Source organism: Homo sapiens, chromosome 3 (genome assembly GCF_000001405.40).
Source record: "Homo sapiens chromosome 3, GRCh38.p14 Primary Assembly".
Classification (NCBI taxonomy): domain Eukaryota; kingdom Metazoa; phylum Chordata; class Mammalia; order Primates; family Hominidae; genus Homo; species Homo sapiens.
Genome location: NC_000003.12, coordinates 123409226 through 123435868, shown reverse-complemented (window position 1 = coordinate 123435868; position 26643 = coordinate 123409226). Strand labels below are relative to the sequence as shown.

Genomic DNA, 26643 nt, shown 5'->3' with positions numbered 1-26643 from the left:
AATAATAATAATAATAAAAGGGCTCTTGCCAGGTTGCCCAGGCTGGTCTTGAACTCCTGAGCTCAAGCAATCCACCTACCTTGGCCTCCCAAAGTGCTGAGATTATAGGTCTCAGCTGATTATAGGTCTCACCACGCCCAGCTGAATTTTTACTTCTTAAAAATGTGTGGCTTTCTGTGCCCTTTTTCATTTATACTCTAACCTGTCTTCAGGTTCCTAAGCTGCTGTTATAAGGTGGCAGCAGAACTTGTGGCCTTAAAAAAAAGGTTTTCTTAGTATGAGAAACAAGGACCCTTGATTTGGGGCATCTCATGCAGGTTCTGAAAGAAGTTATGTGCTGACTAAAGGGCCTGCCAGCTTCCTGGAGAGGCTGTGACATCTCTTGGTCAATGGAGGACTCCGTCATTGGTTAAATCTTCTACTGGAGTCTGCAGGGACCTTGTGTGTGGAGGCAGTCTCTCTTCAGCATTTCTCTAGTTTTGGCGCTACTATTCAGATGAAACCAGCCCACACCACTGTGCTCAAGCATCTAAAACTCAGTTGAGTTCAAGTCAGTGCTGCCTTACGTATTTATTTATTTTTTGAGACAGGGTCTTGCCCTGTTGCCCAGGCTGGAGTGCAGTGGTGCAATCACGGCTCATTGCAGCCTTGACCTCCTTGAGCTCAGATGATTCTTCCATCTCAGCCTCCCAAGTAGCTGGGACTATAGGCATGCGCCACCAGGCCCAGCTAATTTTTGTGTTTTTTGTGGAGATGGAGTCTCACTATGTTGCCCAGGCTGGTCTTGAACTCCTGGCCTCCATCAGTCTGCCTGCCCTGGCCTCCCAAAGTGCTGGGATTATAGGTGTGTGCCACTGCGCCCAGCCTCAGTGCTCACTTATTAAGCTCTTACTGTGTGTGGCATATACCCAAAGGAGTGAAACATAGCCCTTGCCAGAGAGGGGATTGTCACATATTAGTGGGAGACCTAGGCCCGGGTCCTTTTGAGGGTCCCTGTGTCATCCTGCATGGTCTGTTAGGGTTAGGGTTAGGTTTAGGGTGGTTGTATGGGTAATGGAGCGAGGAAGGGAAGGTAGGGCTATAGACAAGAGATTTCTTATCCTGGGTGCACCTTTGAATCCCCTGGGGAGTTTTGAAACTATACCTTAACAAGGCCCACCCCAGATTATTTATATTTAACTCTCGGGATGAGGCTTGGGCACTCCTAGGGTTGAGACCTGGACTAGACAGTGGCTCAAATACCAGCCAAAAGGCTCAAATACCTTTATATTTAATTAGCATTTTTTGGGTGACAAAGGACTTGTTTATGTGTGATCTCATTTGCTTCTCATGGCAACTCTGACGAGGTGATGTGTTAAAACAAGATAACCATTGGCTTTGGGGCCTAGAGGCCCAGGAGATAACCCTGACTGTGTAATCCTGGCAGAGTTGCCCTAACCCCTTTTTAGTCCTTTTTCTCTCCTGTATACACTGGGGGTGATAGATTCCTGATTGACTGGATCTGTTCCTGGGTGCCCCAAACAATTTAATGCAGGTGAGGGCACTCTGTAAGCTGTGAGGCGGGTTACAGACCTGTGATGCTGATGTGGTTTTGGAGAGGAGGAAATAAGAGGCTCCGAGAGGTGAACCGACCCCATTCAGGTTACATTGCTAGTTAGTTAACTTTGGAGCTGCTGTACAAATTCAGATCTCTGACTCCAAACCCAGTGCTCTTTTCACAGTTAGGGCAGTGCTAGGTCCTCCCTGTGGTGCTTTCAGAAGCTGTGTGGAGGGCCCAGCTGCTCTCAGGCAGTTGTCTCAGTTTGGTTTCGGAATGCATGGCTTTTTATTTGTGATGGCCCTCCTTTCCCCATGGTGTCTGGCTCAGACGGGCATTAAATGGGTTGTCATTTCCTGAGCCGGCATTGGTGCTGTGCTGAAGTGTTTGTTTAGGGGGCAGCTGGGATCAACTGTTTACCTATGAAGAGCTTCTGAGTGGTTTTATGGATGACTGAGTAGGGACTGAGACCCAGAAGAGGTATCAGAAGTGATGTTACAACTGCTCAGCTCTGGGGTGAGGCTGCCGCACAGCCCGTCTTCTGGTGGCATAAGTGGGACAGGGAGGGAAGGGAGGAGGCTGCTGGGGACCCATCAGGATCACCTCTTGGTACAGCCCTGGAAGTCTGACCCGGGGTCTCTCTGTTGAGTAGTATTCAGTAGATACGAAGCTTGGTGCTTACTAGAGCGTTTCTAGGGTGTCTCTAAAGCCCAGTTCCCCAGCACCATCAACACCCTAAGAAATACCCCAGCATCCTTTAGCTGTGTTTCAGATTCACTTTTGTTCCTGTCGCTCTTCTCAAGAAAACTAAAGGAAAATGAAACTCGTTTGCTAAGTAGATCTTTGAGATTATATTTTTACATTTTCTTTTGGGGATGGGACGGCTGTTTGTTCACTTAGTGTGCCCTAGTCCCCAGTCTTCCTCTGGCCAAGTCCCTTTCCCGTAAGCATTTCACCACGCTGAGTGGAAGGAATCCATCTGCCCCCTTGACTGGCTCCCTGTAGGTGATGCCAGCTGGGAAGTGTCTTGGCTCTGGTACCTCAGCTGAGCAGGCTGCAGAGGGACAGGGGCCTGAGCTGAGTCCTGGGTGAGCAGTGTGGGCTTGCACCCCTCTGGGGCCCTGCCTGCCTTTGTGGCATCTGACACCGCCAATCTAAATTGGAAACATCCCCTTCTTTTTCTCTGTAGCACTTATGCTGGTTTGTAATTTTTCTCGTTAGGTTTGTTTATGTGTCTTTCCACTGGACTGTTGGCTGTCTGAGGTCAGGGAGCTTGTCTCTTTCAATCCCCAAATATTTACTGAGTGTTATTGATTTTTAGATCCCTACTTGCCCAACACTGTGGGAGGAAGGCAGATAGTGCCCATTCTCAGGTTCCACAGGAGTTCTGACTTTGGCAGGAAGGGGTCCCTCTGGGTGCTTCTTCCCTGGGCTGGCATCTCCTCTACCAGAGCCCCACCTCTCTTCCTTGTGCCTGGGCCCTGCCTTAGAAAACACTGGTTTTCAGCTGGGTACAGTGGCTCACACCTATAATCCCAGCACTTTGGGAGGCAGAGGCAGGAAGATTGCTTGAGGCCAGGAGTTAGAGACCAGCCTGGGCTACATAGCAAGTCCCTGTTTCTACATAAAATGAAAAAATTAGCTAGGCAAGGTGGCATGTACCTGTGGTCCCAGTTAGGAGGCTGAGGCAAGAGGATCACTGGAGCCCAGGAGGTCGAGGCTGTAGTGAGCTGTGATCGCGCCACTGCACTCCAGCCTGGGCACGGAGCAAGACCCTGTCTAAATAAAAAAATAAATAAAAATAAGTAAAAAAATAGGAAACACTGGTTTTCATCTCCTCTCCCTTTCTAGGATCCGCCACTGTGCTGTCAGGCCATGTTGGGAGGGGCTGTGTTGCACCATTTTTCTCTCCCTCCACCCGGTTCCTTCTCCAGTCTTTCTTCTGGTGTCTTTTCCTGCCTGCTGCCTCCTCCCCACTTCTCTCTTTGCAGCTGTTAAGAGATGCGGGAGGACCTCAAAGACTTGACAAGAGGCAAGTTCCTGGGCATATTGAAGGACAATAAATGTGAGTGTGGATCAGTACACAAATTCCAAAGAGGATTGTTTATTCTTTTCAAAGCAGTCCCAGGAAATAGCAGTTCCTGCAGTGCCTTTTCAACTTCCTTGTAGTTTATTGCCATGTATTATGGTGCATGTGTCAGCCTCAATTTTTCACCTTGAATGCCCAGGGCTGAGACTTAGGCTTTCTGGCTGGGTTAACCTCAATGAGTCCGTCAGAGCTTAAGGTGTGGGAAGTAAAGGTACGTCAAGGAGCTTTCACCTAATCCCGGTGCCCAGGTACGTCGGCAGTGGCTGGGCATCAGCGTTTTGTAATGCTGTGGGTGATTCTGTTGTGCGCCAGGATTGAGAACTACTGCCCTGAGCCTCCCTCATCAGCGGAGGGGTCATGTGATGACACCGAGTCTGATTTATGGCTGTATTGAAAGGCAAGTTGTTTATATCTAAGGGGTTTATTGTGGTGATTCAGTAAGGAGTGATGGCCACTAAAAATGATTGCAGGCGTGTAAGAGGGGAAGAAAACTTGGTTGGTGGTTGGTATAAAAACCTTGTCAGGCAAGGCTGTGGCTTAGTATATTTATGTTGCTCTTATCACCAGCAATTAACCCCAAATGTGGCTGGATAAATGGCTTAGTGCAGTGCTATAATAACTGCAAGAATATTTTAGGAAATGACTGTTACACATGGCTGATAGACTGACCATCTTAGCAGAGCAGCAAACCTCACTCAACATTCCTGAAGGCTTGTTAGCTACAAACAAATGCCTATTGATCCGTCAAATATTAACTCTATTAGCTCTTTCCTCCTCTCTCTCATTTTTTTTTTTCTTTTGAGAGAGGCTTGCTCTGTTGTCCAGGCTGGAGTACAGGGCTATTCACAGGCACAATCATAGTGCATTACAGTGTTGAACTCCTGGGCTGAAGTGATCCTTCTGCCTCAGCCTCCTGAGTAGGGGGGATATGATATTTCACTGTTGAGTAGGGAGAAATTGTATAAACACCTGTGGCCTTAATACCCTCAGCAGTGTTCATTAGTCTTTGTGAATCTGTCTTTGACTCCGCTGTAAACTAGAAGTGTCTGTAGTAGATGCTCAATAAATAGCTGCTGGCTGGATGAATGAATTTGCTCCAGTTTACTCAACAGGTAGATAGCAGTGTTAGTCCGGCACTAGTACTTTTTCTTCACCTCTGTAGCTCATGAGAAGCACAGAATTATATAGCCGGCAACTCCCCATATGCGTTTGTTGTTAGCATGTGTGGCCAAGACTAGGAAAGTTAAGAAAGGTGATGTGCAGGGTGAGGAAAGGATGGGGCTTGTACCCTCAGAGGATTTCCTTCCTGTCCACTGTGTGGACAGTTATTTTCTAGCACCTTTGGATCAGGGCAAGAAGGGCAAGGACCCTTCTGCTGCAGGTCCGGGCTCTGGGAGGACAGAGAAGCAGATGAAGTTGGGGTCTGTCTGAGGACTGAAAAGGTTGGCAAGCACCAGCTGTGGGGCTGGGACCTGGGGCCTGGGAAGCATCCCTAGTCAGGACAGGGAGATGTCCTCAGGTTAAATCCTCCACGAATGACCACATGTGGATTTGTGATGTGGTCTTTCTTTGGAAAGGGGTTATCTGGGGAGAGTTAATTTTGGATTTTGCTTTACACTTATTTTTAAAGTGGAATATTTCTCCAGCATTGGTGACAATGGCCTAGAAAAGCCCGTTAGTCACCATCTGACATCTTCCCCGTGCGGGGTGTTGCTGCCTTTGCTTCTTTCCCACCTGACGCCTGTGGGGCTGATTTCGGTCCTCCTTCTCCGAGGCCTCGGGGTGATTTCACTGGCAGACAGTGCTGTGGGGAACTCCTGCTGGGCCTGAAGTGGTGTCAGCCTCTGCTTCCATCCTGGGGTGTCCGGGAGCCAGGCAAGCTTGTGGGGTGGTGGGGAGCCACATCGGAGGATGCGATGGTGTCTAGGTGAGGCCTGTCCCTGTGAGTCCAGATCTGTAAGGCTGAGTCCGGCCTGTATTCCCCACAGTCTTTTTGCTCTTTGTTTTCCCTCTGTGTCTTCTGGAAATCACCCTCAGTCTGGGACTTAAGGAACAGGTCTAGTTTATCTTAAGGGAACTGAAAGATATGGAATGCTCATCCTGTGTTCCCTGGGTCTCCTCTAGGTTCCTTTGTGGAGCAGGAAGAGGGTCTCCATGTGTTTGCCGTGGACAGATGTGGGAGGCTGTGCTGAGGGCATGGGGGAATGGAGGAGATGCTGACCTGCATGCTTTGTCGAGAGGTGGGAGAAGGGCTGAGGCCGGCATTCACTCCCTTCCCAGGCCGAGCTGCCCCCGCTGACACTCCTGCTGGGTCTCCACACCCCACCCCCAGGGCAGCCGTTGGGGCAGGTGAGCTGGGGAGGAACAGTTGGGGTTGGACGTGGGTATGGGGTGGGGCAGCCTCTTCCCCAGCAGAGTGTGGTTGCTCAGAGTCTTGGTTTTTTCAGAAGCTGAGAAGTCTGGACTGGCCACACAGGTGGGATATGCCACCCTGATGGTGCATATGCAGCCCATGCTCTCCACCTGCTGTCCCCTGACTACACCTGCCCCCTGCCCTCTTGAGGATGGGCCATCAGGTGGTTTTAGAGGAAGATGCCTCACTCTGTCACTGTCATTCTGTTGCTCTGTCACTTGTGAATGTGGCAGCCTCTGTGTTTCTGTGAACTCCAGGCCCCGAGTGAAGAAGCCTTCAGGATGCTGCGTGATTGGCAGGTGGGGGTGGGTGGGTCGTGCTCCTGAGATGAGGGAGCTTACTTTGCCTTCTGCTCTGAGGAGAGGCAGACTTTGTGGTCTCAGATGAGGGGGCTGAGCACAGGCACTCACTGGGGCAGGGTTGGGGGGATCCTCCTTTTATCTGGGGTCCCCTCTGGATTTGGAAGTATCCTAATAGCCAGCCAGGTGTGGGATGGACCATGGCATCTAGCGGTCTTTGGGAACAGCAACTCTTTCTTTTCCATGCCACAGCCTGTGCACTTTCCTAATGAGCCCCTAGGGCTCTGGGCATGGAGAGGAAACAGGAGGCTTTGTCCCTGCCTTTGCAGAATGTTCGGTCTGATGGAAATCTACTTTTGGGAGATGCCCAGCCTAAAAATAATAGGCAATACAAATACTGCCAATCCCTATCATTTATGACACGCAGAGTGTCAGGCATGGTGCTGAACACTTAGTAGCTCATTTGACCCTCATAATCTCCCATTAGGTGGCTATTGTCTTTTTATTTTTCTTCAGATGAGAACCTTTTATAGATAAGGAAATTGAGGTTCAGAGAAGCTAAGTGACTTGCTTAAGGTTGCACAGTTAAAAAGTGGTATGATAGGGCTCCAGTGCTCGCACTCTGAACTACTACTCCAATAGCTCACAAACGTAGGTGTGCAAGAATTCCCCAGGAACTCCGTTTAAAAATTTGATTCCTGGGCCCCTCGTCAAGAGAGTCTGATTCAGTGAGTCTGGAGTAGAGCCCAGGAATCTGTATCCCAAATAGGCACCCCCCGCAAATTAGAGGCATGTGCCCTGGGGATGCAGTTCTACCATCCAGTGCTCTTCCCAGGGGGAGAACAGATTGACGTTATCAGGTTCTCCTTTCCCTGAAGTGATGGGGAGTCCCAGGCCCCTCTGAGAGACAGAAGTTTCTATGTTCACTGCACCAGGAGGTGGGCTCAGGAAAGGCACAATATGATGGTTAGATTGAGAGTGGAGGGGAACTTCCTGCTGAGCCTATGCCTGGTGATTCTCAGAGGACAGGGCTAGAGGAGGCTTTGGAGGACGCAAGGGAGCGAGGAGATGGAGACACTGTAATCCAGAGAGCAGGAGCTAGGAGGTAGCCTGGTAGCAGAACCTATGTCAACAGCCAGAGAGAGGAGGCAGACAAAGGGATTTTCAGGTGACTGCAGGGACACCAATTGTTACACTACAGTGCATGACTGCAGGCACAAAAGTCCTGGCAAGAAGACATCCACCCCTGCCTCAGTTTCCTTGTCTGTACAGCAAGATCAGATGGTCCCTGAAGGTCCTGCCTGTGTGTGCCATAAAGGGTGCCCTTGGGTCAAATAAGAAGGGACTGTACTCCAGGGACCGGGAGTGCTATGGGGACAAAAGTACTACAAACCTGGAGAAGCAGAGAGTCACAAGGCCAGGTGGCGCATGGTTCTCACATATTTCTTTCTAGACTCGACTTCAGACATGGGTCCCTGTCCGTTGATCCTCCTAGTCACTGTCCCTCCATTTGCTTGAACCTAGCATGCCTCCCAACAAAATTCCTCATCATCCCTAACTTGACTTTATTTTCGTTATTATCAGTTCTCTCTTTGCCTAGGTGCCTGTGTTAAATGATTGTTGGGCTGAATTATTTAACAAATATCTACCATGTGTTAGGCACTGGGAAACCAAGATGAACAAGCCACAGACCCTGTCCTCAACAGCAAACCTGTAAATAACTGCCACCTGTGTCAAGCTGTGTTCTAATTACTTCTGTTAACTCAGTTAATCTCCACAGTAGTCCTATGAAGTAAGCACTGATATTGTCACCCACATCTTGCAGATGAGGACACTGAGTATGGCAGGTTAAGTAACTTGCCCAAGCTCACACAAGGAACTGGGCAGCCTGACTCTGGGGTCTGGCCTCTTATACATCACCACCTCCCAAGTCCAGTGGAGGGTCCTAGGAGACTTCCCAAAAAAGATGTTCTCTGAGCCAGCTTAGAGGATGAATAGGGATTTCCATGTGCAGAGACATGGGAAAGGGCAACCCTCACACAGGTAACAGCAGGAGCGAAGGCATGGTGGCAAGAGACTAAACCAGGGGCCAGGGAGAGTGGCCAAGGAATATGGTGGAAAGGCGAGGCTGGCTGGTAAGTGGGACTGGGTTGGGAAGTGTATAGACTTCTGCGCCAATACATTTGGGTTTGTTGGAGGGAAAGGAGATTTCTAGAAAGCTGTGTGTAGGAGAGTAAATAGATATGGTCCCACCTGTGATTAGAAAGGTGGGTCTAGTGTTAGGGCATGGAGGTGGTCTACAGAGGGAGAGCCTAGAGGCCAGTGATGGGTATGCTGGCTGCTGCCCTTGTCCAGGGAGGCTGGAGGAGGCCCACTGAGGGAGCTGGAGGGCTAGGGACACAGGGAGCCCCTGGGCATCTGCCTATTAGTGTCTTTCTACCTTGGTTACCAGTGGCACTAAAGCTTGTCCCTAATGTCCCCCAATCAGGAGATCCTCCCTAGCCTCTGGGGAACCAGATATCACCTCTTCCCCAGGGGACTTGGATGGATCCCAAAGGCCTTCCTCCTTTTCTTGGGCTTTAAATATCCCATGACAGCCTCCTTCCTTCAGATTCCCAGGGCTCTGCCTTCATCCAGGTGTTAAGCACCCGAAGAGTCAACCTCCTAGCTTCTCCTCCCTCTGGGAGCCCCCACTGAGTGCCTCTGAGGACCTCATTCCTTGGACCCTGGTGTCTAGGGCACCCCAAGCCCCAGCAGAGCTCCTGGTACTCCTACAGGCTCCTTGCGCCAACCTCCACATAGCTTCCTTTCTCAGGGGCTGCCTGACAAAGTATGTACTTAACTCTTCTGTTTATTCCTTGCCCTCCTTCCGTCCATAACCTCTTTAGAATGTCAGCTCTGGCCAGGCGCAGTGGCTCACGCCCGTAATCCCAGCACTTTGGGAGGCTGAGATGGGCAGATCACCTGAGGTCTCCTAGGAGTTTGAGACCAGCCTGCGCCAATGTGGTGAAACCGTGTCTCTACTAAAAATTAAAAAAAATTAGCCTGGCTTGGTGGCGCACGCCTGTAGTCCCAGCTACTCGGGAGGTTGAGGCAGGGGAATTACTGGAACCCAGGAGGGGGAGGTTGCAATGAGCCAAGACCACACCACTGCACTCCAGCCTGGGTGACAGGGCAAGACTCTGTCTCAAAAACAAACAAACAAACAAACAAAAACAAACAAAAAAAAAACACAAAAGAAAAGAAAAAGAAAAAAAAAGAATGTCAGCTCCTACAGGTAGGAACTTCATCCTGTTCACTGCTGTCCACCCCCATGTTGCCATGCTGCAGGGTGTTTCTCCTTGGCAAGCGCCCTGCCCTTTCTGGGCTTTAGTGCTCTCCTCCATGAAATGAGATATCATGATGCCTGCTCCCCAGAGGGTTGTGTAGAGCATTACCTGTGATGATATAAGCAGAGCACTTAGCACAGGGACTGTACAAAGCCCTCAATAAATGACCTGGGGTCTGTCCCAAATGTGGATGGTTTGTACTTTTAAATTCCCACACATTCCAGGAGAGCTTGTGTTTCTCTGGACTGCCTGTATGTTTGGATGGCAGTAAACAGGCAAGAAGAAAACTGCACTACCTCCAAAAAGAAGTGGAAGAAGAGCTAGGTCCTGGGTCATGGGTTTTACCCTCCCCTGGCCCTGTCCTTATTCTGGCTGCTGGCTACCAAGTGACCAGCACAGACCTTCCAGGAGCCAGGCTGCCCCTAGAACCTGACTGGGACCAGCTTGTAAGCTGGGGCCAGGGCTCCCTGGGGTGAGTGGTGTGAACTGGGGGGTGGGCTGGGCCAGGTCCTCCTGAATCTGGGGGTGGCTGCAGCTGAGGGAGGCTGTGGCGAGGTCAGCCCTGTGACCAGCATCCCTTCTGGGGACTGCTCTAGAGGATCTGGTAAATAAGCTGTGGATGGTTTTGAAAGGGCTGGGGCCACTGGGACAGAGAGGAAAGCCATACAGCTGCTTCTTCCAGATGTACTTCCTTCTGTAACTTCATCAAGACATGCACACATGCAGTGGAACACAATGAAACCACCCACAGACCACCAGAGGCCTCAGTGCTGAGAGAGCTCTGAGCCTGTGAGGCCTGTTGCAGAGAAGGTGGCACATGGCGAAGACCTGAGACATCAAATGGGACACCCGAGGGATCTGGCGAGGGCTGTTGATAACCGAGACAATAAGCCCAATCCCTTTCCCCCAAGTGAGTGTCTAGGTGAGGCAGGACCCATGCCTGGAGTGTGACGTTGTAATGATGTCCAGAACATTCCTTTGGCTGGTTGGACCTGTGAACACAGGGCTGGCCAACTGGGTGGATGGTTGGAGAACTGCTGGCAAGCGGTCTGCCAGCTTCCTGCCCATCCATAACCTGTGTGCACCAGGATGGGCCCCTCTCTGCAGTGCTCAGTTACCCTAACATTGAGAGGGGGCCCCTCATGCCTGGGCTGCACTCAGGATGCCTGGGGAGGGGGTGTGCCAGTGCGCCAGAAGTCACAACAGACCCTGACCCTGGCTGAAGGAGTCAGTCTCGAAATGAACCTTTTTTTCTTTTTGGCTAAATTAACATTTGGCATTTCAGGGTGCTGGCCCCACGCCCGGCCTCTCTGGCCTTCTGCCTGTCAGCTCCTTTGAGGCTATTTTTGCCATTCACTTATTTATTAACTATTATTGCTCCCCAGGACAGATGGGCACATGGGCATGCTGACATGCGCGCGTGCGTGCATGCGCGCACACACACACACACCCTTCAAACCTGGAGCCCATTAGAAAAGCCAGTGTGTACTGGCCAGGCTGAACATGGGGTGGAGAAGGAGAAGCCATCAGGAGGACGGTCATTCTGGGTAAGGCTGGAGGAAGGGCTGTAAGGGTGGTAGGAGGCAGCCACCTCCTCAGAAATGCCCCCAGCCACCAAGGCCTCGCTGTGCTTGTTCTAGCCCTCAGAGGAGTTCAGCCCTGGGAACGGCTCATGTGTGAGAGGACTGTGCATTCTGCCTGGACCATCTTTCCAGGGAAATTGGCATGGGGAATTGGGACCTCTGAGCACCCCCTGCTAGGATATAGGAGAGCACTCGCCTTCCCCCTGGGGAGGCCCCAAGGTCTGCTTCTCTGCCTGACCCCACCAAACCCCCATCTTGTAGAGGAGGGAAACTTGGCTCCTGCCTTCAGAGAGCTCCCAGCCCAGGACTCTGCTCATGAAAGGAGCAGGCTTGGGTCTGTCTCAGCATCTGAGAGCAAAGGGTATCAGAAGGCACAGGCCTGAGCGGAGGGGCAGCGTGTGCCCAGCCCTGCCCACCATTCCATCTCAGAGCAAATGCCCACCCCTTGGCCCCCACAGTCCCACGTGCGTGTGCACAGTGCAGACACTTGAGTGCCATGGGATAATCCTCATGCTGGCTTCCAGTCTCCTTGTCTCAGGCCCAGCCATCTGCTCTAGGACGGTGGCCTCACCATGTTTCTCCCACACCTGGCACCGGGATGCTCAAAGGCCAGCATGGAACCACAGGGAGGACAGAATGAAAAGCGAGACCTTCTGCCATAGGCTGCCCAAGGCCTCTCACTGGGCGTTGGCCTGTGTGTGGAAGAGATGGGAACGGTGCTCCCTGCCACTCCAAGGACATCAGGGGCTGAGCAGGTGCTGTGTCAGGGCTGAGTCCTGGGGTGGCCACCTATGCTCTCCCACTGAGCTGGCCACCCTCCCCTGCCCTTCTTTCCTCATACCCGAGAACCCTTCTTGGCCTCAGGAAGACAGTGTGCTCCTGGGACTGGATTCTTACTGCAGAGGGACTGCCAGCCGCCGGGCCCTGTCCTCTGGGGCCCTTCTGCCTTGGGGCTTGGTGACGGGCCTTCTTAGAATAGTGTCAGGGAGCTCTTGAGGGCAGGGGCTTGTCTGTCCTCAGCAGATTGGGAACTCTGAGGACAGAAACGGGTATTGCACCTTAGTCTGAGAGCCCCTTGAGGATGGCATTGCACCCCCTCTTCCCTCCCATCAGGACCCAGTTTCTGGCTGTGAGATGCAGAAGCTGCCCAGTCCTCGGCGCCTAAAGATCTGGGAAGGAGGCTGTGGGATGTGGAGGCCTCAAGGCTGTAGCTGGGGATGCGGGAAAAAGAGAAACTTCCCACCTCCCACGGCGCAGAATCACATCCCCTTAGTGGCTTCCCTCCGCTTCCCCTTCTCCGCAGGGGTGGGGCGGGGATGGGTTTTATAGCCAGGGGTCAGGATTCCACAAGCCTGATAGCCAGTGGAGCTTGTGCCCAGCTTGGGCTCGTGCCCAGCGTGGGCATGAGTAAGGAGGAGGCGGATGTGAGTGTGGGATGGGCCGGCAATTGGGGCGGGCTGGGCTGGTGCCTCTTGGTGGGCTCAAGAGTGAGGCCAGACCTCCTGTATCCTCTTGGGCTGCTGCCTTGTCTGACCCACTCCTGAGCCCGGGGCCAGGGTGGCTCCAGTAACTGGTCTGTCCTCTCACTGCAAGGTGCAGGGAAGTCTCTCCTGTCTGTGAAGTCAGCCCTGATGCTCCTTCCCAGGAGGGAAACAGGGAAGTTTCTGTACCACGTGTCCAGATTCTGCTATACAAAATTCCTCGCTCCTATCGGGTGGTATCTCTGTGTCTGTATCTCCCCTACTTGAGAAAGGACCATCTCATTAATTGGCATGCTTGCCCCCTCCCCTGAAATGGCCACAGGCCTTGGATTCTTCTGGAGCCTTATGGCCTCTAAAAGCTTGATGAGAAGAGAGACCAAGCCTGCTGCTGATGGGCCCAGCCTGGAAGCTGTTATCCTATGATCTGGGAGGAGGCGAGTCCTTACAGCTGGGCATTCTGGCTGGGGTTGAGGAGGGGGATTCGCAGCGCCCCCTGCCACCAGACATGAGCTGAGCTCACTGCCTCTGCCCTGCAGTTGTGACTCAGTGGCTGTGTGGTTTAATGGTAGGTGCCGGGGCATTCCAGTCAGGCGGCTCTGCATTTGAAACCCAGCTCCACCACCTACCTGTATATAAGAGCCTTGGAGAAGTGATGGCAACTGTCTGACCCTCAGTGTCTCCATCTAGCACTTGGAGCTATTGCTATCCACTCCACAGGGCTGTTGTGAGAATTTGTTTACTAATCTGTATAAAACACCCTAACCTACCACCCTGCCCATGGGACTTCCGTGGGCAGCCCGAGAGGAGGTACGTCTACTAAATGACTAGCTCCTCTGGCCACTGTGCCTACCCTCAGTTTTTCAAGATCTTGTTCATTTTAGCTTCTGGCTGCTTTAACTGCTCATCCAAATCTAGACTCAGCTTTGGTGCCACTTTGCCGAGAGAAAGGGGAGAAAGCCTGGCAGCATTAGGAGCTGAGCAGAACCCTTCAAGTGCCCCTCTGCCCAGGAGGAAGCTGACAGTCCCAGTGCCTGCACAGTTTTTTGCTTCCTAGTAAAGACTGCATTATTATGAGCTAATGTCTGTGCTGTCCCTGGAGTGGCCAGGGGAGAAACACCGGGTAATGTGATTATTACAACAGTGACAATAACAACAACAGCACACCAACATGCACACACATTTACGGAGAAGGCCGTGAGTTGAGGGGCTGGCTCCAGGCCAGGGCTGTGGTTAGCACACCAGGGATGGCTGTGGCGCTTGAACACAGTGAGTTTCAGGCTTTTCATGCTCAACTCTCTCTCCCACAGTCCTCCCCCATTGAATAAAAAGCCAACAGGACATATCAATAAATCCTTTCCACTATAGCATAGCAGTGGGTTTGATATAATGTGGTCTTGTGCCTGCCTGGGAGGCCAGTGGGGGAGCTCTCAAAAAGGAAGGCAGTGGGCTCCATCTGTCCTGTGCCCCCATGCCCTTTACTCTTTACTTGCCCACTCAGAACTCCTCCCACCCAGTCATTGCCTACCACCCACCCTTGGGTGACAATGTGAGCCAGGGTACAGGGAGCAATTGCCCTGTGAGAACTCCCCATGGCTCAATCTGATGGTCATAGTGGACCACACCCAGGTACTAGATTTAGGACTAGGTGTCATGATGAGATAATGTCTGTGCTGCTCAGAACCGGCACAAGTGCTAACAGTATGACGTGATTATTGTACTGTAGTGGCTAAAGACCACCTGAGTTTGAATCCTGGGTTTGTCATTCATGTACTGTACAACCTTGAGGCAGTTACCTAACCTGTCTGGGTCTCTGCTTTCTCAGTAGGAAGTGGAGATAATAAAAGTAACCTACTTCTCAGTGCTGGTAAACATGCTTATAATAGTGTGTAGCACCTGGTAAACCCTACGAAGATTTACTCTTTTATAGTCATTCTTTCAACAGAACAATAAGCACCTGGAGTGATTCCCATCCTTGGGGTCTGTTATATGTTAAACTGTCTCCCAAAAAGGATATTGAAATCCCAACCCACAGTACCTATGACTTATTTGAAAATAGGGTCTTTGCAAATGACAATGTTAAGATGTCATCAGGGTGGGCCCTAATCCAGTGTGACTGGTGTCCTTATAAAAAGGGGAAATTTGGACACAGAGACAGACATACGCAGAGGCAAGATGACCTGAAGACAGGGAGAGAACACCATCTACAAGCCAAGGAACACCTGAGGCTACCACAAGCCAGGAGAGAGGCAGGGAACAGATTTTTCCTTCTGGGGAAACAGCCCTCAGAAGGAACCAACTCTGCCAACGTTTTGATTTTGGACTTCTGGCCTTCAGAACTGTGAGACAATAGATTTCCGTTGTTTATGCCACTGAGTTGGGGAATTTTGCTGCAGTAGCCCTAGCAGACTAGTGCAGGATCTGAAGGGGGTATGGTGTGGCCACTGCCCCTCACCGCTGCCCTGAGCTGCTTGTTACCCCCCAGGGACAAACAGTGTCAGAACTGAGCAGACCGGGGTGGCGAGGCTTTGGCTGGCCTCAAGCCTCTGGCATCTGTCTCAGATGGTCCAGGCTCTTGGCCGTGTAGGAGAATGGAGATGCGGCCATCTGTAGGGCCTGGGGCACAGATCACTCACCCCTCACCTCCCACCCTACCTTCCTGCCTCTCACCTCTTTCTTAGCGCACTTCCTACCTGCTCCAGGCAGGAGGAAAAGGAGAAAGGAGGTAACAAATCTCTGGAGAGGACAACCCAAAGCAGGGTTTTGGCCTGAGCATCTCTACCCGTCTTCTCGCCATCTCCTGGAGGCTTAACTGTGATCTCTAAGCGGGAAATGATATGCCTATCTAGGGTGTATCTGTGTGTCTGTGCATGCATGTGAGTGTGGATAGAGAATGTCCTTCATTAAGCTGCTGTGGCCTCATGACCATGACTCATAAACTTACAATCAAGCTCTGCTGGACAGAGGAGACCTGTCCCCAGGGTGGGTGATGCCAGCTTCTGATGTAGCAGCCAGTGCCAAGGCCCTCCGCAGCGCACCTTGGCAGTCTGCCCCGCCTGCTCCCTCTAAAGAACGGTTTGTTCAGTTTCATTTGAGGAAACAGATATGTCTTGAGCATCTCTGTATGTATAGCCCAGGGATACAGTGATGAGGATGGTGCAGGCTTCACCCACAGGGAGCTCATCATTTGTGCTGGGTGGAGGGGTGGGGGGGTGTCTACAACAACTGCGCAAATAATACAAGGTAGAATAAAATGAGCACGGGGGAAGTGCAAGGTGAGAGTCGGAGTGGGAAGAGCGACTCGGAGGAGGAGGGGAGCTGAGCAGCAGCTGGGGAGAGCTGGATGGGGGAGAGCCCAGGGAAGGTTTCATGAAGGAGGTCACTTTTGAGAGGGGCCGCGCAGCAAGAGCCTCGCTGGCAGGGGGAGCAGTGGAAGCAAAGGATTGGAAGCTGGAATGTGCCACGTATGTCCGGGTACACAGAGTCTTCCCCGGTGACCCAAGCACAGGGTCCTCCCTGGAGCAGGCAGGAGTTGAGGCTGGAATGTGACACATCATGGTTGCCCTCACATGCTGGGGTGAGGAGTATCTACAGAACCGAAGTGTAAAAGGGGATCCACTGAGGTCTGCAGGCAGGAGTGCACGGTCGGTTGGACAGGGAGCATTTACAGGATTGAGGAGGCTGATGCAAGTCTGGCAACGTGGGTATGGGGCCTGAGGTGGGAGTAGGAAGGAAACGGTGAAGGGAGAGACATTTCTGTTGGAAAAGTGACAGGATTTGGCAAGCGAGGAAGAGGAGGCGTGGAAGATGAGCCAGAGTGATGGAATAGTGCTGCCATTCAAAGAGAAGTGGGTGGGCGGACGGCACTTCCCTGGCCTGTGGGGGCGCGTGGAGGGGAGGGCCTTGAGTGCCACCTGACTGTGTGCTCGTCAGATGCATGGAGGGCCTGGAATCATGATGAGGGGAGGGGATGCGGTGCTCTCTCGGGCACCGGCTGCACTATCAGCGTTCCCTGGAGAAACAGAACCCTTAGGATTTATATAGACATATAGAAAGATTTACTGTGGGGGATTGGCTCATGCCGTTACGGAGACTGAGAAGACCCATGAGCTGTTGTCTGTAAGCTGGAGGACCAGAAAAGCCAGTGACGTGGTTTCAGTCCAAGCCTGAAGGCCTGAAACCCAGGAGAGACAATGTTGTAAGTCCCAGCCTAAGTCAGAGGCCTGAGAACCAGGAGCCCGCTTTCCAAGGGCAGGGGAAGATGGATGTCTCAGCTCAAGAAGAGAGTGAATTCTCCCCTCCTCTACCTTTTTGCTCTATTCAAGCCTTCAGTGGATTTGATAACGCCCACCTGAATTTGGTGAGGGCGATTGCTATGGTTTGAGTTTGTTTCCACCGAAACTCACGTTGAAATTTGATCTCCGATGTGGTGGTGTTGGAAGGTGGGGCCTAGTGGAAGGTGTGTGGGTCATGGGGTCAGATCCCTCAGGAATGACTTGGTGCTGTTCTTCTGGTAGTGAGTGAGTTCTCACTCTGCTGAGGCTGGATTCGTTCCTGGGAGAGTGAGTTGTTGTAAAGCCAGGGCGCCCATAGGTTTTGTTCCTTCACACGTATCTGCTTCCCCTTTGATCTTTGCCATGTTGTGACACAGCATGAAAAGCCTTCTGCAGAAGCAGAGCAGATGCTGGTGCTATGCTTCTTGAACTTTTCAGCCTGCAGAAGCATGAGCTAAATATACCTCTTTTCTTTCTAAATTACCCAGTCTCAGGTATTCTGTTATAGCAACACAAAATGTACTAAGGCAGCGATTTTCTTTACTCAGTTGGCTGATTCCAATGCTAATCTCTTCTGGATGTACCCTTGCAGATACACCCAGATATAATGTTTTACAGCTATGTGGGCATCCCTTAGCCTAGTCAAGTTCACATGTAAAATTAGCCCTCATGCCAGGGATGGTGGGAACATGGACCAGGTGGTAAGGTGGGATCTGTTAGTGAACATGTGCCACTGGCCTTTCCAGGAACCAGTGATCAGTGTGGGTCTCACCTCCTGGGATCTGAGTGCTCTGTAACTTAGACCTGCTGATGGGGCACAGTGGCTGGGTTCACCAGGGAAATGAGCCCACTCTGATTACTGTGAATGGCAGTTTCCTTGACTGCAGAATTGTTGGTAGTCATGGCTGGTCCAGAGTCTCGCTCTGTTGGAAGGCCACCCACTCTGCATTTTCCTCCAGCACATTGCAGGCATCCCAGGCCATCTTACCTTACGAGCCTTCATTTATATCATTTTCGGAGTTCTATTTCATAAAATTCTAGAATGTCAGGGCTGGAAAGAAGTATAACCATCATCTCCAGCCCTTTCATTTTCAGAGGAAAAAATGGAGGCCCAGAGAGGTGAGGTGACCACCCAGGGTCACATGGCTATTCCATGGCTGATTTAGACCCATCTGAATGGATCGGATTTAGACCTGCCATCTTCTGACTTGAGATACTGTCCCATGGCTCATGTCTTTTCCATGTTACTTCCTCTATTTGTAGATTTCTGGCCACTTCAATGCCAGGAGTGACACATCCATCTCTAGCATTCAGCAAAGTGGACATTTAGTAAGGACTTGTCCCTGAATGAGAGAAGGACAATGACTGGCCTGTGCAAATATCTGTTCAGTTACAGAGTTCTGGGGGCAAGGGCTTAAGGTAATGTTCTCTCTGGGGACCTGTCTGTCCAGGGCTTGTGAGGGGAAGAGGGCTCACTGGCCAGCGGGCCGTTATCTCCCTCACTGCCCCATTAGGGAGCCCAGGAAGAGGAATGAGGAGAGAAGGTGGGAGCCTCTCACTGACTTCCTGAAGATGCAGAGCCACCTGTGGCCTTTTCATGCCTCCTGCCCTGGATCACATGGTGGTGGTGGGGTAGGGGGGAACCTGGTACCTTGGGGATGCCAAGAAATCAGGGGCTCTTGAGCTAGACAGATCTGCTGTGGGGACAGATGGAACTGCAATGCACCTTTGGCTCTCAGCTCTCTCGGGGGAAGGAGCTATTCGTCTGCTCAGGCTGCTGTAACATTTACCAGAGATTGGGGGCATAAACAACAGAAATGTATTTTCTCACAGTTCTGGAGGCTGGAAGTCAGGATCAAGGTGCCAGAGGATTGGGGTCGGATGAGGATTCTCCCTTTGGGTTGCAGATGGCTGCCTTTCGCTGGGTCTTTTCTCTGTGTTCTCACAAAGCGAGAGATATCTCTGGAGCCTACTCTTTTTCCTGTGAGATGAGGGTCCCAATCTTATGACGTCATTTAAGCCTAATTACCTCCCTCAAGTCTTCATCGCCAAATACACTCACACTCATGCATACACACACACAAATACACTCCCACCCTCTCTCCTCATTCCTCTTCCTGGGGTCCGTAATGGGGCAGTGAGGGAGATAACTGCTTGCTGGCCAGTGAGCCCTCCTCCCCTCACAAGCCCTGGACAGGGCTTCAACAGAGGAATTTTGGGGGCCATAATTCAGTTCGTGGCAGAGCGAGTTTGTGAATAGTAAGAGCCACGGGTTGGTATTTTCCTCTATCAGGCTGCCTTGTCCCCAGCATGAAAGCCCTATCGGGTAGGAGTTTGCTCAAAATCTTGAGGTCTCTACCAGTTTCTATGAGAGACTTGTTCTGCGTCCTTCAGTGCCTTAGAGCCTCCTCCCTCCTTTCTAGTCAAATCAGAGACAGGGAGGCCCTTTGGGAGGTTGTCCAGGCTGTTCCACTGTTAAGCAGCCTGGTGTCTTCCCCAAGACAAGGGGACAAAATGTTCTGGCTATAAATGTCCTAGGGAAGGAGGTTATTGCCTTTAGCCCCTTTTTGGGGAAGCGTCTGGAAGTAAGTCCTGAGGAATGAAGTCTCAGAAAGAGGGCTGTTGCAGCAGAGGTGACCTGTCCATTCAGACAGGTCCTGGAGGAGAATGGGCCCCACGGAGGGTGAGTGTCATGGCCACCTCAGGCCTCCCACACTACCTGTCCCTTTCTGCTGATTCTCCTTCTCCTTTGCCCTTCCACCTTCTTGGACACCTCACCTGGGGCCTGTACTGTAACCCCTGACCCTAGGTGGGAACTTTATCTTGGATTTTTTGGTATGGAACATTCAAAGTAGAAAAAATAATGAACTACCGTATACCTACCATTCAACCAGCAGTTGTCATGATTTTGCCGCATTGATTTCACTTACTCTTTTTTCTTTTTTTCTTCTTGCTGAAGTATATTAAAGCAAATTCCAGCCATCATGTCCATTTACCCCTATACACCTAGCATGTATTTCTGAAAACAATCTGTACCTGAATTTGATCTTTGCCTCTCTGTGATCCTGGGTCCACTAAAGATGCTCAGTTTCCTCACTGTGAACGACCTCCAAGGGCATGGTGTTTGGGTTAAATGAAGGAGAACTTAAAAAGAAAAACAATGTAGTAAGAAGGCGCACCAGATTAGACCCAGAGGCCTGGGCTTTGTAATTAAACTGCCTTCTCTCTGGTTGGAGCTCCTCCCCAAGGCCACAGAGGCGCTGTGGGACATGCCACCTCCGCTTTCTGGTTGCAGGAAAAGTAATCATTTTCTAAACGGTCCCGCAGACGCTGAAGAGAGGCTCGTTAGTTCTCCCAGGGGCCGCCATCACCCCTGGGAGGACAAGCTCAGAAAGAATCTGGGTCATTTTCTTTTGTGCCATGAAGCCCTCCCCAGGGCTCTGGTGAGAAGTGATCTGATCGGCCGAGGCCACAGGCACACTGACACCTGGCGGGCCCACTCTGGCTCTGGCGTGGAGGTGGTACTAGTGTACCGTGGAGCTGGGGGAGAGGCTGGATAACCCTCTGTCCGGGCATGGCAGAGGGTTCCACCCTGTCCCCTGGTCCCCAGCTGAGCCAAAGGAAGTTTTATGATTCCATCCCATTCCTCTCTAACAAATGCATTTCTCTCCCTCCCTTGGCAACCTAAGCCGTGTTTACAGAAAATATGAGTCTAGAATAAACAGTTCCTATCAGACCCGAGGGCCAGTGGGGGCTGTGGGAGAATCCATGGATCCTCTCCCTGGTGATGTGGGGTGGCTGTGGGCCCTGCTGTAGCTCACCCCAAGGATCTTCTCTCTAGGGACCCAAGGGGCCGCAGTGGTGGAAGCTTTGGAGTGAGCCATATGTTCAAATCCTGCTTCTGGCTATGACTACCTGTGCAACCTTGGGCAGGTTACTTAGCCCCTCAGGGCCCCAGTTTCCTCATCTGTCGATCCTCCAGAGGGTTGCTTTAAAGATGAGCCATCAGGGCCGGGCAGGGTGGCTTGTGCCTGTAATCCCAAGCACTTTGGGAGGCTGAGGTGGGCAGATCACTTGAGGTCAAGAGTTTGAGACCAGCATGGGCAATGTGGTGAAACCCCATCTCTACTAAAAATACAAAAATTAGCCGGGCATGGTGGTGCATGCCTGTAATCCCAGCTACTTGGGAGGCTGAGGCAGGAGAATTGCTTGAACCCAGCAGGCAGAGGTTACAGTGAACCAAGATCATGCCACTGCACTCCAGCCTGGGCGACACAGCCAGACTTTGTCTCAAAAAAAAAAGGTAAGCCATAAGGTCAAGCCCTAGCTTAGAAGTGGTCCTCAGAAATGCTGCTTTCTCTCCCCTGAGTGGGAGCTCCTCATCCCCTGGTGTTTAGTCCTGGACACAGGAAATCACCGGCTGAAGGAACATCTGTATGGTTTCCGAGGAGCATTTGCCATGTGTTAGCTTGTTGGAGTGTCAGCGAAGTGGAAACTATTATCATCCCCATTTTACAGTTTAGAAAAAAAGGCTTAGAGAGGATAAAGGGTCCCACAGAGCTGCACAGTAAGTGTGCAGGTGGGGCGTGGGTGTGGGATGAGCTAGTAGGTGAGATGAGTGTAGAGGGGCTGGCAGGAGGGCCATGCTGGGATTGTCCACTTGGGAGCAGAGAAGGCTGGGGTGGACTGAGGAGTGGTGGCAGGTCTTTGAAGTTTTGGTGTCCCCCAAAGTCATTCTTCATTGACTCATCACAGGCAGATGCCGGGCAGCTTATATGTCTTTAGCCCATGACATAGTGTCCAGACCACCTTCTCAGTCTCTCTCCCTCCTCCCTTCTGCGTTTTATCTGAATCAGGGCTGGCAGGGAACTTCACAGTCATCTCCCCAAATTCTTTCTGCATCGTCCCATCTGAGAGTGAGGCTGAACACACAGGATCACACAGTTCGCAGCTGGGCTGGGGTGCAGTTCCTGGGCCTCACTCTGTCCGTTCTGCAGCCCCCCCACCCCTTTGTCTCCCCAGCTCTCTGCTGCCATTTGCTCCTTCAGGGACAGACACTGGGTTTCATGTCTCTTGCACCCAACATGGTCAGGCTTGTAGAACAAAGCAAAGGCAGGTGAACTGCTTTCCCTGCCCTCACTGAGGAAGAGCAAGAGGGCCTCAAGCTGTAGCCTGAGGGATTTAGGTTAGACTGACAGCAGGCCAGGCAGAGTGACTTGGATGGGCCTGCAGTCTTGTTTCCAAAGGCTGTTAATCGGTTGCTCCCTCTGGTGAGAGCCTCACTGCTCTGGGATTTGTTTGCTGGGATCCTATGCAGCTCTGGATACGGAATCCTCCCCTGACCTGGCCTCTCAACACAGGCTTCAGGTTTCTGAGGGGAGGCCCTCTGCAAGCCAGGTTTTCTGTGATTCTACTGTGGAAATTCTGTCTGGGAGGGGGCATCTCCCTCCCTGCTCAGGCTGGGATCAGAGGCCTCCAGAAATCAACCACCCTTCCTTGGGCCCAGCCCACCCAGGGGCCTGAGCTCATGGCTCAGCCATCTCTCTGGTCAGGGACGGGAAGTGCTCCTGCCTGCTTCAGTTTAGGGTTTGGGGAAATGTTCCGTGTTCCGTGTTTTAGGCACGCTCAGCTCCTGCCTTCCGAAAGGTCACTGCTTAAGAAAACAGCCTGGTCCTTGGCTTGGCCCATCTGCTGGGAGATGGGCTGTGATTCCTCTCCCACGAACTGGCAGAGTTTCCAAGATGAAAATGGGAAAACAGAACAGGGGAGTGAGCCTGGTCCCGTCCCGGAGGAGCCGGCGTCATGAAGCCTGTGTCTGCTGAGGACGGTGAGGTCGTCTCCAGGGGGCTCCGTGACTTCTTAGAGATGTGGATTTAACCAGGAGACAGTGCAGGCTGGCCTGTGCCGCCTGCTCTATCAGGCTGTGCTGGGCATCTGTGCCGGGAGAGGGACGCCGTCACCAGCTGTTCTGACAGGCACGTTCCTGGACGGGGCTATTTAGGGCAGTCATTGAACGAAGCACATAACCATGACTGCCTTTTTTTTTTTTTGTCATTGTTTGTTTGTTTTGTTTTTAGCTTGAGGAAGGATCCAGATGTTTCTAGTTCTGCAGATGTCTTTTTGTGGTAAAGCTGAAGAACAGAGATAGGAAATGAGGGATGGGGGAGTTGGATCCCAGAGGCTTCCACATCACCAGATGACCCTCAATGGGTGCTCAGGTTCCTTCTGCACCAGACCCCCATTAACCCCGACTCCCAGCTCCCCAGCACATCTTCCTCCAAGGTTTTTGCTCTTAGCCTTTCCGAGCTCTATCTGCCACCGCAACACAGAGGCTGTCAGTGCTGTAACTGCTGTCTTCATACGCTTGAAATCTCACTCCCAAACCATCCCTGCAGCCCTGGCCCCTTTGGGAACCCCAGTGTACATGGTTTCCCGGCTTTTGGAGGACACAGTGGTTGCGTTGTCTGGCATCTATTCAGAGTTGGGGGAGAGCCCGCAGGGACGTCCTATTGGGTCCTTTCTCTGTTACTGTCTGTTCTTACTTCTCCCACCACACCCTGTCTCCTGTTGGGGCGAATACCTTCTCTAAGGGCAGCCTGGTGGCAGGAATCTGCAGTAGGACACAGGGCCCCCAGGCCATGGCTAGAGAGGCCTATGAGGCAAAGTGTCCTCTTTCCTGCCGCAGCGTGCCCCTTGTGGTCAGGAAGCCTCGAGGTCTAGCTTCGTTCCCTCCTGCTGTCTCTTCCCATCCTCCCCTATGTGGAGGAAGGTTTTATGAGTGGGGGCTTGTTGGCACCTTCTCAAAAGGAGAGGGCAGGCATCCTGAGCTCCTGGATGCCGGCAGAGCCTAGGGTAGGATAGTTCAGATGCCTGTCTGGGGAGAGGGCATGTTCCAAAGGTGGAGTTCTGTGTGGGTGGGCTTGGTACCTGGGCCCACAGGCTGCGGGGATGGACACTGGGCTATGCGGGGGCAGGGGATGGGTGACAGGGCCACAGTGAGTCCACCTGGGACTCTGTTGTGCTGTCAACGGTGGACAGCCCCACGTGGGCCTGCTCACCTGTATTGACATGTCAGCTCAGGTGTCCCATTAGGTTAAGCTGTGAGCCCAGAGGCTTTGGTCCCAGGGCCACCCTGGTCACCAGGCTGTGAGGACAGGAGCAACTGTTGCCCCACCCTGCTTTGCCTCTGGAACGAGTCCTGGGGTTGGATTGGGGGTGCTGGGCCTGGCACTCTGTGGGAGCTTGGACTTAAAACATGTTGCTGGCTGGGGGTTGGGGATAAGAGGCAGGGGAAGGAGAAAGATAGGCACTGGGATCCTGGGCCAGGCTTAGGCCTTTGTCCTTTGTCCCCTCAGGCTGAGTCAGCATCTGTTGTCTCAGGAGTTTCTGTCTCAGTTCAGGCACTATGAGTGTTACCTCCCCTAGGTGCCGAGGACAGGCCCCCAGCCCGGTGATCTAACTCCTTAGTCAGTGATCGGTGAGGCCTGTCAGGGGTCTGCTCCCTGCTTATTTGAGGCTCTGGTTTCCCTTCTGAACTGAAGGGAATCCAGTCCACTTGCCAGACACTTGTTTTGCTCTTATACTTGCTCAGCCCTCTGAGTGGACCCCAATGGTGGATGGCAGGCTCTCCTCGAAGCAGGCACTAGTACGCCCTTGACTGTGGATTCCAGGAGGCCCAGGGAAACTGCAATGGAAGAGGTTGGTGGAGGCACAGGGCAAGGAAGAAGAGCTTTCTGGCAGACTGAAACAGGAGGCTCATGGAGGGAACGGGTTAGGCTTGGTAGTAGAGGGCATATTTGACAAACCTGAGTGATTTGGTATAGCTGCTGCTTTGGAGATAAGTGGGTGCTGGAATGGCTAGTGCTAAGGAATTTAGGCCGTATCCAGTAGGTGATAGCTATTTAAGTAGTTTGAATAAGGATGGGGTGAGATGGCTCACGTCTGTAATCCCAGCACTTTGGGAGGCCCAGGCAGAAGGATCACTTGAGGCCAGGAGATTGAGAGCAGCCTGGGCAACATAGTGAGACTGCATCTCTACAAAAAATGAAAAAGTTAGCCCAGCAAGGTGATACATGCCTGTAGTCCTAGCTACTCAAGAGGCTGAGGTGGGAGGATCGCTTGAGCTCAGGAGTTCGAGGCTGCAGTAAGCTATGATTGCACCACTGCACTCCAGCCTGGGCGACAGAGCTAGTGAGATTCTACCTCCAAAAAAAAAAGAATGGATGTGATGGTGATTAATCTAAGAGCTGCCATTGTTGAGCCTTTATTTTATGTCCTTTATGTGTCCTGTTAGATTTCATTCTTACTGCAGCTTTCTAAGGTGGACGTTATGTTGGTTTTCACCTGGTCATTCCAAAGGCAGACAGAGTGCAGGATGTGGCCAAGGGTGTTGGAATAATAGGAGATTAGCCCTTCCCCAACAGGCAGTTCACCTTGGGATATGGCTCTACCATTCCTACTTATGCCTGGGAGGTACGGGGTGGCCCCAGGCTGCTGTGTTGAGGAGGAGGAGGAGGAATTGGGGGATAAGGGTTGGGGGAGGAGGAGGAGGGGGATGGAACTCTGCCAAGACAGAGCTGCCCTGGAGGGAGTCTTTGTGGGCTGTTTCCTGAGGAGTTCTACAAGGGAAGCTTCCAGTCACTCTGCCATCCTTAAGGGTGATGAGCTGTGTTCCAGCCCCCATCCTTCCCTCCCTTTCTCATTCTCCTAGTTCTGGTGGAGGCCCTGAGGGCAGATGGGGGCCTCTCACTGGGTTGACCGGATCCAGCACCTGCTCATGTGGGAGAGCAGAGGGACCTCAGGGCTATGGGGCCACACTGCCTCAGGGAACACAGGTCTCAGTTGGGGAAGTGGGTGTGGGAGGACCTGTAGAAAAAGAGATTTATTACTGCTCTTTCCCTGCCAGCTGCGTGTTTGCCTTTCCCAGGTCAGTGGGCTGGTGACGAGAGAGGGCAAGTTAATTTATATCCAGGTGATAGATTAGCTCCTCTAACCACAGGGAACTTTCTCAGCTCATCCAACTGGGGCTTGGAGGGTGGGAGGGGCCGGTGAGTGAGGGAATGTCTCTGGGGCAGTTTCTACCTTCTGCCCGGCCTCTGTTAAGGAAGCAGGTGAGGTGCAAGAGGGGCATCTCAACATGAGTGGGCATCTTAACCTCCTGGAGAGCTTGCTGGGCTCCCAGAGTTTCTGAGTCACAAGGTCAGAGGTGGAGCCCAATAATTTGCATGTCTAGCTGCTTCCTGGGTGATGCTGCAGCTGCTCCTGCTCTGGATATCCCACTTGGAGAACCACTGTGCTAGATAATCAGTTGAGGATTTTTGGTGGTGCTTCCCTTACCTATCTGTGCTGCTTGGACAGGACTATTAGCAGGAACACATCCTTTCCACCTGTGAAAGCTGCATCCCACCTTTAGACCCTGACTCCAAGGATACCTTCTCCAGTGGCCACCCTGAGAACTAGCATGTGCTGGGCCGTCTGTCCTTTTTCCCCACATGCTACCTGGTTTCATGGCCTGCGACTGTACACACCTGGAGTATTGGGACTCACTCTTACCAATCCCTGGGGGCCCCCATGGCACCTAGCACAGCCCCTAGCACATAGAGGAACTAGGTGTTGAGTGGATATAGTTAAAGCAGACCCTT

At 52.0% G+C, this 26643-nt stretch overlaps 1 protein-coding gene across 7 annotated transcripts in view, besides 2 other annotated features; it reads left to right on the top strand.

Moving 5' to 3' along the window:
- ADCY5 (adenylate cyclase 5) overlaps positions 1–26643 on the top strand; it is a 166795-nt gene that overhangs the window by 13222 nt on the left and 126930 nt on the right. For 2 of the 7 annotated variants that reach the window (NM_001199642.1, XM_005247078.1), the window contains exon 1: positions 19527–19685. The exons of 2 other annotated variants lie outside the window; for them this stretch is intronic. In NM_001199642.1, coding sequence (NP_001186571.1) covers positions 19602–19685 — 84 coding nt within the window. In that variant the 5' untranslated portion in view covers positions 19527–19601. Of the gene's footprint in view, positions 1–10196; positions 11215–19526; positions 19686–22576; positions 22830–26643 lie in introns of those variants that run through there. 3 more of the 7 variants (XM_011512359.3, XM_047447359.1, XM_006713484.2) reach the window with 3 other exon arrangements.
- Positions 22153–22696: an enhancer, noted in NCBI's record as "H3K27ac-H3K4me1 hESC enhancer chr3:123132020-123132563 (GRCh37/hg19 assembly coordinates)". NCBI's record gives its function as "activates a minimal SCP1, AML or CMV promoter by ChIP-STARR-seq in naive H9 embryonic stem cells {active_cell/tissue: H9 hESC(naive)}" and the evidence as "EXISTENCE:reporter gene assay evidence [ECO:0000049][PMID:30033119]".
- Positions 23508–24033: an enhancer, noted in NCBI's record as "H3K4me1 hESC enhancer chr3:123130683-123131208 (GRCh37/hg19 assembly coordinates)". NCBI's record gives its function as "activates a minimal SCP1, AML or CMV promoter by ChIP-STARR-seq in naive H9 embryonic stem cells {active_cell/tissue: H9 hESC(naive)}" and the evidence as "EXISTENCE:reporter gene assay evidence [ECO:0000049][PMID:30033119]".